This window comes from Homo sapiens, chromosome 18 (assembly GCF_000001405.40).
Source record: "Homo sapiens chromosome 18, GRCh38.p14 Primary Assembly".
Classification (NCBI taxonomy): domain Eukaryota; kingdom Metazoa; phylum Chordata; class Mammalia; order Primates; family Hominidae; genus Homo; species Homo sapiens.
The window spans coordinates 44,986,855-45,000,874 of record NC_000018.10 but is presented as its reverse complement, the minus strand read 5'-3'; the positions used below and the strand labels follow the sequence as shown (position 1 = coordinate 45,000,874).

At 36.9% G+C, this 14,020-nt stretch overlaps 1 protein-coding gene across 17 annotated transcripts in view; it reads right to left on the bottom strand.

Annotated features, from left to right (window-relative positions):
- Positions 1 to 14,020, bottom strand: part of SETBP1 (SET binding protein 1) — a 388,438-nt gene that overhangs the window by 67,636 nt on the left and 306,782 nt on the right. The window lies entirely within an intron of this gene.

The window sequence follows — 14,020 nt, the reverse complement described above, 5'->3', positions numbered from 1 at the left end:
CGACAAAAATGTAAAGCATGCACTCTGTCTAGTACAGAGCTTCCTAGGAGTGTGTGTGTGTGTGTGTGTGTGTGTGTGTGTTGTGTGCATTCCCGTTGATGTATGGCTCTAGTCACACAGATTTTTAGCAGCATCTTATTTACTGTTTAAGGTTTTCATCATATTCCCTTACAACTTCTCTGCTTTCTCTTCCATTTTTTCCAATGAAAAAATTATAAGCTGAAAAGCTATGGAATTTTGGGAGGCTTCCTTATCAAGCCTAAAATATACATGTATATTTTTTATTTTAAGAGTATATTTAGCACAATTTAGACAGACACATTTTCAACAGATTTGGTGGTGGTGATGGAGGAGTGGGGCTTTGCAATGATCCACAGACCTCTAACTGCAGTCTCCAACCTCCCCCTACACTTACCATGCCCTGTTTCCAGGCAGGAACATGTTCAGAAGACCTCAGGGCAATACATGGGCTGCCCAACATCCTGGCTGCTCACTATAGCCCCTGTTCTGTCCTTGGGCCTAGCTCTCACACCTGGGCTCTTGCTTTTTCCTTGTGACCCTACCTCTGCCTAATGACTTGATTCTACTAACATCAGTGTGTTTTTGTCTATCCAAGTTCAAATGTCTTAGTGCCTAATAACCAAGACCAGCCTCCTCTTTCACCCTCTACTAAGGATAGGTGTCTTGGCTCAAAAGCCCAGTCTAGACAACTTTATGCCAAATCATATCCCTCTTAAACATCACCTGATTTCCTTTGTTGGCATTCATGCCAATGAGGAGGTTAGAGTGCACTGCTACTAGGACAGGCTGGTGTGCCAACAGTTCACTGTCATATAACGTAACATTGGACTACAGATGAGAAAATTTTGGAAAGAATAATCTGTGGTTAAAACAAGAAAGACACATGATTTTTGTGTTTTGCTTATTCTCTTTCTTTTGATTAAACATCTTAATTCGGCTGTATTTAATTTCACTATGATCAGTCACGAGCTCTCTTAGACTGTAAACTACTGGTGGCAGGGCATAACTATTATCTTATTAGTTTCATTGTCAATTATCCAGCATTACATGATTCAGAATTACATCCTTAAAAATAATTACGTGTGCTGTTGGGGGCTGTACATACACAGAAAAATTGAATCAACTGGTATGAAATGGATTCACCAGGTTTAGCTGACTTTAGCAATGCAGACAACATGATATCTATTACTTTCCTGTTTTGCTATGAGCATTAGTAAGAAGGGTCGTTGCGAGTTATCTCTGAGGTGGTTCTGACTTTGTATCTTATTGTGCCTATGTGGACAAAGCACCAACTTCATGATCTATGCCAGTGACATGGATGTACTCTGAACATATCCCAGAGTTTTTTCTTCAGGTATCACTCAGTAGACAAGGTTAAGACCACAGACTTTTCACCTTCCCATCACGCACACTGCATAATATATAAAATGTTAAGAACAAAACAGGAGTGATTAAAATGAGATTTTTCTACTTTCAAAGGGTCATTCTTATGCTGGGTTCTGGAGGCTCTTCAATGCTTAACTGTCAAAAAATCATAACTTCCTGGAAACTTTTTTTTCGCATCCTGGGTCAGCCACTATAGGGCTGAAAAGGAATGTGACACATGAGGACTTCAGATTCTAAATAACTAATAACCTGACTAGGGAGACCAGACTATTACCCCTAAGGTTATCATCCGATAACTTGGAATCACACATACGTGAGTCTCATAGTGGTAACCAGAGCACCAGGAGTAAAAGAAAAAAAAAATTCTGTGAGCTCAGACAGTAGGACCTGCTTTACAGAAGAATGAGGCATTAGTTGAGGCCAGAAGGATGATCAGGATTGTTTTCTGTTGTTACATAAGAACCAGACGGTTCTACATCCAAATAAATAAAGTTAACATTAGTAGCTTAAGACATCAGTAGCTCTGATTCCACTGGGTGTCTAGAAAGCTCTGTCCATGTCTTTTTGCTCATCAAGCCATCAAACCTGACATGTCAAAATGGTAGAGTAACAAGTGTTTTCTGTTAGGGCTATTTTAGAACTGTTTCTCATAAAACAGCAGTGAATAATATTGTTTATGGAGTTCTAGTACTGTAGGTGGGTACACCATAAACCAACATCCCTGTGGATTTACTTCCCCGTATCCAACCTTCCCCAACATCATCCTGAGTGCTTAACTTCAGACTGCTCCACAGCACAGACAGGAGGGCAGAAGACACATTGGTGGGTGAGCATATTTCTACTGCATCTTCCAATTGCGGCCTAGAGCGCTATCTACAGATCTAGCTGTATATGAAAAAGGAACGGCAGTCGTTGAGATCAGCGCTGGAAGCTGTGAATACAGCCAATATGTCTACTGAACGGTACATATGTTTGACTAGAAACAGACACATGGGTTTATGTGTATACAATTTTATTCTGTGCAGGGCAAGTGAAATCTCCGGGGTCTTTAATGCTCACCACTCAACCTTGAAGAGAAAAGCTCTGTAACTGGCCCAAGGTTGGGCAGAGGTCGCCACAGAGTCAAGTATGGGGCAAGTGCCTGGTGTGAGGAGAGATACCCCGGAAACGGGGCTACCACCCCACTCAGGTGTTTTCCATACACAACTGTGACAGCTAGAAATGCTCCTGTCAAGGGTTAGCTTGGCCCTGGATTCCATGTTGTCCTCTCTGCCCCGAACCATCATTGTATTATAACAAGAACTTTCTCACCACAGTACCCACCCACTACTGGCCTGGCTTATTAAAAGCCCCAAAGAACTGTAACGGTCCCAATCTCCCTTCTCTTTAACTAGAACAGGGGCTGCTAAACGGCCTCTCACTGCCTTTTGCGTGTGGTGCTAATTAACATGATCCAAGTTACAATATGTGCTAAAGATTCCAGTTTTGTTACTTATTTAATGAGCTTCGTGGGATTTGAACATGAGGCTCAAAGTAGCAGGGGAAACCTCATAATTAGTTTCAATTACAAGAAGTTCCTACGCATTAAGACTATTTGATGAACTGCAAAGGGAAGGAACTACCGACCAGATACAAATCACTAATTTTGTTTCATTTATTATTATACTTATTTTCTTCCTAATTAGTGCTGATTGGCTTATGATCCTAATTAATGCAAAGGAATTTGGAATGGTATACAATGGTATGGCTTAGAAGATGCCAGCATGTACAACTGCTAAATTATTGCTAATTGTTATTTACATGAGGCCTGGAAGACTAAGTAATGCAATGCCTAATTAGCATTAAAGATATGGTATCCATTTCCAATTTACACTAATGCAATGGAGATCAAATCATTAGTCTAAAAACCTCGATCTTTAGATCTCAAGAATTGCTCCATTGTATAGTGACCTCTACCTAAGGGGAAACTGTTTTGTCTTCAGTTGCATCTTGCCAGGGCTTGGCTAGAACTTTGCAGAAAAGTTACACAGGAATACTCAGCATAACACTGGCAATGGGCTGCAGTATTTAAGGATTAGAGCTGGGAGCCACCTGGCAAATAGGCCAAGCATAAGGCCTGGGTTTCTTCCAATGCTGGAAGGTGTGTGTGCTTGCTGGAGAGTGCAGTCCCGAGATGGCAGGTTTCTGGGAAGGCCTAAGGCCATCCTGACATCATGGTCCCTATGAGTGATATCTACAGAGGACTAGGGAGGCCTATTTTGAAGGGCTGGTGGCTCAGCTAGTATCATAGGGGCAGATGCTGTCAGCCTGATGGGGGATGCAGTGACACAAAGAACAAAGAGATGCTCCTGGAACTGGGAGACCTACACTTCAACTCTCTTAGTCCAAAACTCTCCCAAGATGTTCTCCTCATCCCTGATTACGCCACCTGTGTTATGGCAAGTGTTTCCCCTCTTTCTCATCTGATCTTCCCTAGTCAATAAAGAGTCTTGAAGGAAACACTCTGGGATACTCCCGTCAGCTGAGACCTGCCTGTACCCATCTCACTGCTTTTTGCACAGGAGTGTCCATTATTTTGCCTTTTTCCTACCCTTTTTCTTCCACTAGCCTCATATCTTTTCCTTCTTTCCCTTTGTCTTCTCCCTTGCCTCTGCCTTAATCCAGTGCTCTGTGGGCTGGAAAAGAAGAGTATAGGAGTAGCAGCCCAAAGATCTGCCTGACTTGATGTTACAAGACTCATTTCACCTCTCAGGACTTGAGGTTCTCCATCTTGTAAAATGGAAATGCTAGTACCTACTGCTCTATCCCTTTCCCCCAGAGTATGTGGAAGCACAAATGGGATAACATATGGGAAAGCCCTTTGGAAATCAGAAAGTTCGATATGAATGGGGAGGATTCTGAGAGTCAGTTTAGCAGTTTCATCTTCATGGGTAGTTTTTCAGTGCCTGACAGAGTTAAAATCCAGTCTGTAAATACTTCCTCTTTCACTGTCAGGCCTACACGTGGACAGAGAAGCACTCCTAGAGGTGACTCCACAGAGCTGAATGGAGGCAAGGAGAGAAAGCTGGCTCTGCCCAGATGCCTGAACTCCACCCCACAAGTTCCTCTTCTCCTAAGTACCTTGTAGATGGAGAGCCTTGCTGTATTGACAATCTGGCCCCGGGTGAGCAGGCTCTAGTCTCTGTAATTCTCTGAGACATTCTTTGGAGAAGACTTTTCATGTGCCCAGCAAATATTGCTCCTGGCTATCAGACTTCATTGAAACATGTATTCTCTGCAGCCTCATAAGTATTTTATACTTTTTGAGAGAGAAGAAGAGAAAAGAGGGAGGGAGAGAGGAAGAAACAAGAACAGTAGCTACTTGATGTTCAATAGACATAAACCCTGTATTGGGTTTTTGGGGTAGCTTCATTTGAATTTCACTGTGGACCTGTTGAAATTTGATTTCTCAAAGTTGGTAAAAACATTTTCCTAAAAAATATCAGTTCAAATCATTTGGTAAGTGTTATGGCCTATATGTGGACCATAAAATTCAGATGTTGGAAACAAGCCCCATTGTAACGGTGTTGGGAGATGGGGCCTAATGGGAAGTGTTTAGGGCCCTGCCCTCATGAATGGATTAATGCTGCTATATAATACAACAAGCGCTCTTGGGAGTTGGTTTGCTTTCTTCTGCTATTCTGTCCTGTGAGGAGACAGTGTTCATCTTTGTTTTTTACCTTCCACCATGTGAGGATGCACCAAGAAGGTCCTTGGCAGACACTGATCCCAGCATCTTGATTTTGGACTTCCCAGCCTCCAGAACCATGATAAATAAATTTCTGTTCTTTACGAATTACTAGCAGCATAAATGGATGAATACAGAAATGTTAAATTATCTATGTACATTTTATACACACACACACACACACACACACACACACACACACACACACACAAAAGCCTGGACATGTACATTTTAAAAATGTGGTCTTCATATTAAGTCTGCATATTCACATTTAAAATGTACATTAAAAATGTAAATAATGACTGGGCGCAGTGGCTCACGCCTATAATCCCAGCACTTAGGGAGGCCGAGGTGGGCAGATCACGAAGTCAGGAGATCAAGACCGTCCTGGCTAACACTGTGAAACCCTGTCTCTACTAAAAATACAAAAAATTAGTCGGGCATGGTGGCAGGTGCCTGTAGTCCCAGCTACTCGGGAGGCTGAGGCAGGAGAATGGCGTGAACCCAGGAGGCGGAGCTTGCAGTGAGCCAAGATCGCGCCACTGCACTCCAGCCTGGGCAACAGAGCAAGACTCCATCTCAAAAAAAAAAAAAAAAAAAAAAAAGTAAATAACATGGTCAGTTGTCTACTGCCACTCAGCTTAAGACACATTATATTGCCAATACCTTTGACACTCACATGTGTGTTACTCCCAACATGCAAGAGGTGCCTTTGGGTAAACTTAAGAAAAGTACCTTTTTCTTCCTTGTGAGGTGAATTCCCACACCTGGGCAAAAGGCTTGGGAGTATCTTGAAGGGCTGATATTTAGCTCTAATTACTCCCTTGGCTGGAAATCCTTGTGCAATATACAACCATACATGGCAACCCTGCCCAACCTCCTTTCTTTGCAGTTTTATCATACATATGGATCCCTGAATAGTATGTTTTTTCATATTTTTGAATTTTGTAGATATTGGGCCATGTATTCTCTTGCTCAACATGCTATTTCTAAGATTCAGCTGATATGTGTAGATGTGACTCATTCATTTTCTTGGATAACAATCTTCTTTTGTATGGATATTCCACCATGTACATATCTACATTATTGTCAATGGGCAACCAAGTTGTGTCCAGTGTTCAGCTATCACAAAAAAAATTTTCCCTATGAGCACATTGGTATTTATCTTCTACACATGTGGGCAAGAGTTTTGTGAGAACAGACATGGAGGAATGAAACTGTTGGGTAAGATGTGGGAAATGTGTATCTTTAATTTTACTATATAATGCCAAATTGTTTTTCAAAATTTTTGTGTCAACTGGTATTCCTCCTAGCAGAATAAAAAGGAATTATCATTAATCCCATAATTCTTTAATCCTTAGTATTCACAGATTTCCATTTTTGCCAGTGTGGGTGATTGTGGCTTTAATTTGGATTTTCCTGATTGTAATTTTCCTGGATTACAAGAGTAATCCTATAATCTGATTATAATTTTCCTGGAATAGAATCAGGAAAATTACTGAACTTTTTTTTGTGTGTGTTCTCTCATCTAAAATACCTTTTCATTTTTTTTACCCAGGTTTTTTATGTAAAAAAGTAAGGTTGAAAGTCTTTTCTTTATTAAACTCTAGCAGTTCTTTAAATATTCCAAATTCTCCTTTTTTGGTAATATAAAATGCAAATATTTTCACAGTTGATAGGCTATCATTATCTTTTTTATGTCTTTTGATAAACGAGTTTCATTAAGATAGTCAGATTTATTAATTTGTGTGATTTGCCTTTTTGTCTTAAGAATACTTTCCTATTCTGGGGCCATAAAGTGTTGCTCTATATTTTCTAAAAGGACAAAGTTTCAACTATCACAGTTAATAATGTAATCCATCTAAAAGTGGGTTTTGTATATTTTAATATGTGGTAGGGTAAGTCCTCCGCCTTTTCTTCTTCTTTAAGAGATCTTAGTTATTCCTATAACTTTCATGTAGGCTTTTTATATTGAGTATAGAATTATCTTACAATGTTCCAAATCTGCTTGTTGAAATTTTGACTGGAATTTCATTAAAATCTATAGATAAATTTGAGGAAAATTGATACTTTCATAATGCATCTTTCTATTCATCAACATATTTTTCTCAATTGTATTTTTTAATAAACTTCAATAAGACTCATTTTTAAAAATGAAATCCTATATGTATTTTGTTAGATGTATTTCTAGGTATCGTATTACTTTTTGTTCTTTCAAGTATTCATTTCTATACATCAGCAATAAGTAGAAAAATATATCAAAAGGATTTTCTGTATTTAATCACTTTTAGTCTTATACTTTTATTAATTTTGATAACTTGTTTATATATTATTTCTGGATGTCATTGTAGTCATATCATAAGAAAATAATCAGAGTTTTATTTTTACTTTTCCAAACCTTTTATTTTTAATTTGTTTTACTTTCCTTAGCTTACTGGCTGAGACCTGTAATGTAACTTTGAATAGATGTGAGAACATTGGGCCTCTTTGCCTTGTTTCTGATAGTAAAGAGAAGGCTTTTAATGTCTCATTGTTAGGTTTGGTGCCTACTGCAGAGTTTTTTCTTGATATCTCTTATTAGGATAAAGAAGTTTATTTTTATTCTTCGTTTGCTGAGAACCTTTGTCATAAATGAACGTTGGCTGTTAGTGAATGACTTCTGCATCAATTGACATAATCATTTGTCTTTTTTTCCTTTGTTCTGTTAATATGGGGAATTGTATTTATCTATTTTCTAATGTTAGATCAAAATTGCATTCCTGAGGTAAATCATAGTTGAAATGTATCATCTTTAAAATATATTTCTAGATTACGTTTGTTTTTATTTTGTCTGGAATTTTTATATCTATCTTTATAGGTACACTTGGCCCACTATTATTTCTTTTTTCTCATTCTGTGTTTGAGAGTGATCAATGTTCCATCCTGAGAAAGTTCTTTCTTCTATAATCTAAGCAAGTTTGTGTAATAATGGAATTCTTGGCAGAACTAACTGTAAAACGTTTGGACCATTTTTATTTAAACGATTTTTAAACTATTGATTCTATTTATTTAATGATTAAAGGGAAATGTGGGTTTTCTATTTCTCCTTGAATTGATATTTTTAAGTTATATTCTTTTCCCAAGCTATGTCTGTGCCATGTAAGTGTTCAAATATGTTGACATACAGTTGTTCCTAATACATTAGTCTTTTCATCTCAATTGCATTTGCAATTACATACTTTCCATAATACTTTTTCTTTTTACTTCTCTCCCTAATATTTTTCTTTGCATTCTATCCTTCCCCTTGCTCCTCAACTATTATTGCCATAATTTTATCAGTCTTGATCTTAATCATAATTTTAATCTTGATCATAATTTTTTATCACTTGATCTTAGCCAAAAGGCTGAGAAGCAATTTTTTAAAAATCAATCAGTCTTTAAAAAAAATGTCGGCTTTATTGATCCTCTCTACAGCACCTGTTTTGCATTTTACTGATTTGTTTTTATCTTTATACATTCCTTTCTTCTACTTTTTTTGAGTATATTCATTTAATAAACAATTTCCAATTTCTTAAGTCATATGGTAAGCCTTTCTTGTTTTAGCCTTTCTTATTTCCTAATGTAAATCTTTAAACTTCTAAATTTCTCTCCAAGAATCAACCTAGCTGCAGCCTGCATGTTTTGACATGTTGTGTTTTCACTATTATTCAGTTCTAAATTTTTTGACCCATGAATTAAATATAAGTGTTTTCTAACTTCCAATGATTTGGGGCTTTTAATGTTATCTTTTGATTACCGGGTTTAATCTAATTGTCTTTTGTTAGAGAATACAATCTCTATGACATTGACTCTTTGAAATTTGTTAGGCATGCTCTATAGCCCAGTATGTCATCAATTTTTATTATTGTTCTACATGTGCTTTGTTGTATTTTCTATTAGTTGGATGTAGCACTTATGCGTGTTTATTACAATTAGATTTGGAAATTGCTTTTCTTTGATTTGTTATATTCTTACTCATCTATGTTTTGTTTGTTTGATCCATTACTGAGAAAGATTTGTTAAAATGTTCCATTCGAAGATCAAGTTTGTGAATTTCTCCTTTGTCATCTTTACTTTATATAGTTGTAAACTATGTTATTATGCACATATAAGTAGAAATTTTAAAATATTCTTGGTTTTAACTGAACATTCTATCATTTCAGCTGTGCTATGACCCTTTTTATAGTCAATAACTTTGTTTTAAGGAAAAAGACATTAAAGACTATTTTGGATGGTATTTATATAAGTATACAAACTTTCTATTCCTATTTATCTATTTTCATACCTTTTCAGTCATATATTTCCATATATTTTAGGTATATGTTTTACAACAAGCATATTTCTAGATTATAAATTTGAAGATCCAATCTGGCCTTTTTAAAGCTTTTATGTTTACTGTTATTATTATTTTATTTCATGATTTATATTGTCCAATTTTCCGTTTCTTGTTTCTTCCTTTTTTTTTTTTTTTTTTTTTTGTGAGATGCAGTCTCGCTCTGTCACTCAGGCTGGAGTGCAGTGGCGCAACCTTGGTTTACTGCAACTTCCACCTCCTGGGTTCAAGCAATTCTCTCGCCTTAGTCTCCTGAGTAGCTGGGACTACAAGGCACGTGCTACCACTCTCAGCTAATTTTTGCATTTTTAGTAGAGACACGGTTTCACTATGTTGGTTTCAAATTCCTGACCTCAGGTGATCCGCCTGCCTTGGCCTCCCAAAGTGCTGGGATTACAGGCGTGAGCCACCACTCCCATCCCGTTTCTTCTTTTTTGGTTTCTTTTTTTTTTTTTTTTTTTTCTCTCTCTCTGATGGTTTGTAAGTTATACCTTTAGTTCTATCTGTTTAGTGGCTAACTTAGATATTATAGAACCCAAATTTAATGTAACAACATGGAAAGTTAATACCTTTACACTTTTCTAAAACAATAAGGCAACTTTTGAATATTTTAACCTGATTACTCCTATTTACATTATTATTTAGTACTTCTATGCTATTCCTAGTATTACAAATTGAACATTATTTTTAGTGTTTTGTTTTGTAGAGCCAACGTGTGTGTGGGGGGGTCTGTGTGTGTGTGTATGTTTTTTTTTGGTTTGTTTGTTTTTTGTTTGTTTGTTTGTTTGTTTGTTTTTTGAGACAAGGTCTTTCTCTGTTGCCCAGGCAGGAGTGCAGTGACATGATTATAACTCACTGCAACCTTGAAATTCTGAGCTCCAGCAATCCTACCACCTCAGCCTCCTGAGTAGCTGGGACTACAGGCATGCACAACCATGCCTAGCTAATCTTTTATTTTTGTAAAGACAGGGTCTGATTATGTTGCCCAGGCTGGTCTTAAACTCCTGGCCTCAACTGATTCTCCCACCTTGCCATCCTAAAGTGCTGGGATTTCAGGCATGAGCTCCTGCCCCTGGCCAATGTTCAAATATTTAAATATAAGTTTATCCACATTTTTTTCTATTATTTTTGTTCACTATACCTTCTCACATCTCCAACCTTCTTTCTCGAAAATATTTTGTCTTTCTGCAGTATACGCTTGGGAAAACTCTCTTTAGGTGGAGTCTTTTGGTAGAAAATACTCTCAGTTTTGTTAGACTTAAAACATTATTCTTGCGTTTGAAAGATGATATTGCTCTGGATGTTTCTCTGGCTTCACAAGTTATTTTTCTTTATATACTTTGAAGATAGTTTTTAACCATATACTAGATTTCATTGTTACTGTTGAGATGTTGGCTAAAAACCTAATGATTGTTTGTTTTGATGGTTATCTATCTTTTCCTCCTGGCTTTTGTTTGATTACAGTGTGTCCACTTAGATAAATTTTTTTTTTTTTTTTTTTTTTTTTTTTTTTTTTTTTTTGAGACGGAGTCTCGCTCTGTCGCCCAGGCTGGAGTGCAGTGGCGGGATCTCGGCTCACTGCAAGCTCCGCCTCCCGGGTTCACGCCATTCTCCTGCCTCAGCCTCCCAAGTAGCTGGGACTACAGGGGCCCGCCACTATGCCCGGCTAATTTTTTGTATTTTTAGTAGAGACGGGGTTTCACCGTTTTAGCCGGGATGGTCTCGATCTCCTGACCTCGTGATCCGCCCGCCTCGGCAGATAATTTTTTTTTAATCCTGTTTGGAATTTCTTGGGCTTTCAGCTTCTGAGGATTGATGGCTTTCATCAATTCTAGAAATTCTTAAGGATTACATATTCAAATATCCTTTTCACTCTATTCCTTTTACTATCTCTTTTCTGGAGCGTCAATAAAATGTATGAAAAATCTGTTTTTTAACTTATGATTCTCTTAACCTTTGTTTCTACTGTTTTCTGTCTATATTACATATAATTTCTTTGGATCTATCTTCCAGTTCAGCAAATCTCTCTTTAGCTATTCCTAATTTGCTACATCATCCATCATTGTGTTTCTAATTTAAATTATTATGTATTTCATTTTTAGACTTTCTATTTGGGCAGTTTTCAAATCTACCTTGCCATATTTCATAATCTGTTGTACTTATTCTTTTGATGTTCTTCTTTACTTTTTAAAACATATTGAGCTTACTTATCTTGTAGTTGAGGGGATTCATATTTTTCCAGATATAGTGGGTCTAATTTTACTCCTTGTTGCTTCTGCTGAGTCTTATAAAAACTTGTTTCCTCATGTATTTTGCATTATCATATTTTATCATGATTTATGTTTTTGGCATTTCTTCTATGAGAACTATTTGAGTCATGGTTACTAAGTGCATTTTTCCAGAGATAATATGCACTTCCACTTGTTAGGTGCCTAAGGGTTCCACCAAACCAGGAGAATTTTAAACTAAAATTTTCATTTGGTCATTTGTAGTCACAAAGCAAGTACCTATTTTGACCCTGCTCCCCTGACCCCCTATTCATATGAGAACTGTCTTGAGATTAAGATTTCTCAGAGGTTACTGGCCCCTGCAACTATAGTGAAGACTATGATGGGCTATATGCTATTTCAGTCTTTTACTGAGGGTTTTGCCTTATAAAATACACTCTTTGAAAGGAATTTTTGGTCATACATCCTAGATTCCATGGGAATTACATTTGTTTTCTCTTCCCTATAAGCAACCAAATAAACCAAACAGTCTGAACATCCAGAAATAGGCAGATAGCTGCAGAAAAAGCCCATCAACTTTAAGGCTAGCTACCTCTTTGTATTAGAGGTTTCTTGTCAATTTTAGCATCTCAGAACCTGTACCCACATTTCTAACCTGAAAATACGTGTAAACAGATATCTTACACCTCATTCAGCTTTTAAACATTTTATATCAGAAAGGTTTTGAAGTATTTCTTGCCTGCTGTATCTTGTAAACAGAAACCTTTTATATTATTTTAATCCCAACGTCAATACACAATGACCCACTGACTTTTCTCCTTCTCCATTATCATCACTTATTTGTTCTTAGCCTTATTCAGGCAACCTGAAATTCAACTAATTAACTAGAGATGCTATATAATAATGTACAGTGTCTACTGAAAAGTCATTTTTAGCTTAGTTTTGTAAATATATCCTATGATGTGAATTTTATGCCGCTTTTCAAATCCTAGGTCGAAAGTTTTAAACATGATATTTGTGTCCCTTCTTTTCCAAATCGTATGAATGTGTATATATTTCTATTTTTTCTACAAAAGGGTGCATACTTTTCAGCAGATTCTAAAAGAACTATGTAGCTGTAACCTTTTAAAAAAAGGTTAAGAATTGCTTATCTTAGGAGAATATCAACAATTAAACAGGTTCACATTTATAGGAGAATTCTGGAAACTATGCCTGGGAAAAGGGAATGAAAAAATATCTCATGAGAAACAGTATATATAGCTGTATCTATATATGTCTGTCTATCTAACTGTAGATTGATCTATTTACATATAATCAAACACACATGGCCACACTCTCATACATACAGGCACATGCTGCTGTGCTACAACATAATAGTAAACAGGGTGAGAGACTAGGATTATTATCAATATTAAATTTGTTTTAATTATGTGTATTTTTCCACAGCAAGCTTAAAGATAATAAACTGCTTTATCTTCACGGAGAACCAAACCAATCATTGCTGAGAAACCTCTGACAGCGCTCCTATCTAAAATGGGTAATTCTAAACTAACATTACCCATCTTGACCTCCCGGCCAGACTTGGCTCCAAGTGATTTGGCTGTTTCCATAAATCACATCTTCCTTTCAAAGGCAAAGACATTTCAGATATTTAGAAGAATGTGGCAGGGCTTGAAAGAATTTCCAAGAGAGCTCCAAAGCATTTTGAGCAGAGGCAGCTGAACCAGAATCTGCATTGTCTAGTGATTGTTATTGATGGACAGGCAATAATCCTAATTGGGGGTTTGCGTACCACTGACTTCATGAGTCTCTGTGTTTTATGCTATCTTATTGCTGTCTGTCTCAAACATGTGTGACTAGAGAGTGGTCAGCAGGAAAACTCTGGGGGCTCTTCTGGAGAAGGAGCTTTAAATACAGTCATACATGGCATAACATTGTTTTGGTCAGTGACGGACCACATATATGTTAGTGGTCCCATAAAATTGTAGTGAAACTGAAAAACTCCTAAAATGCCTGGTGATGTTGTAAGCCACTACAATATCATAGAGGCTATTACACAATGCTTTATGCAAGTGTTTGTGGTGATGGTGGTATAAACAGATTTGTTGCACTGCTAGTCATGTGTAAGTTAGCACATAGGACTAGGTACGGTACATAATACTTAATAATGATAATAAACGACTATGTTACTGGTTTTAGTTACAATACAATACAATACAATACTATACTATACTATACTATACTATACTATACTATACTATACTAACTATTGTTATTTTAGAGTACACTCCTTCTACTTATAAAAAA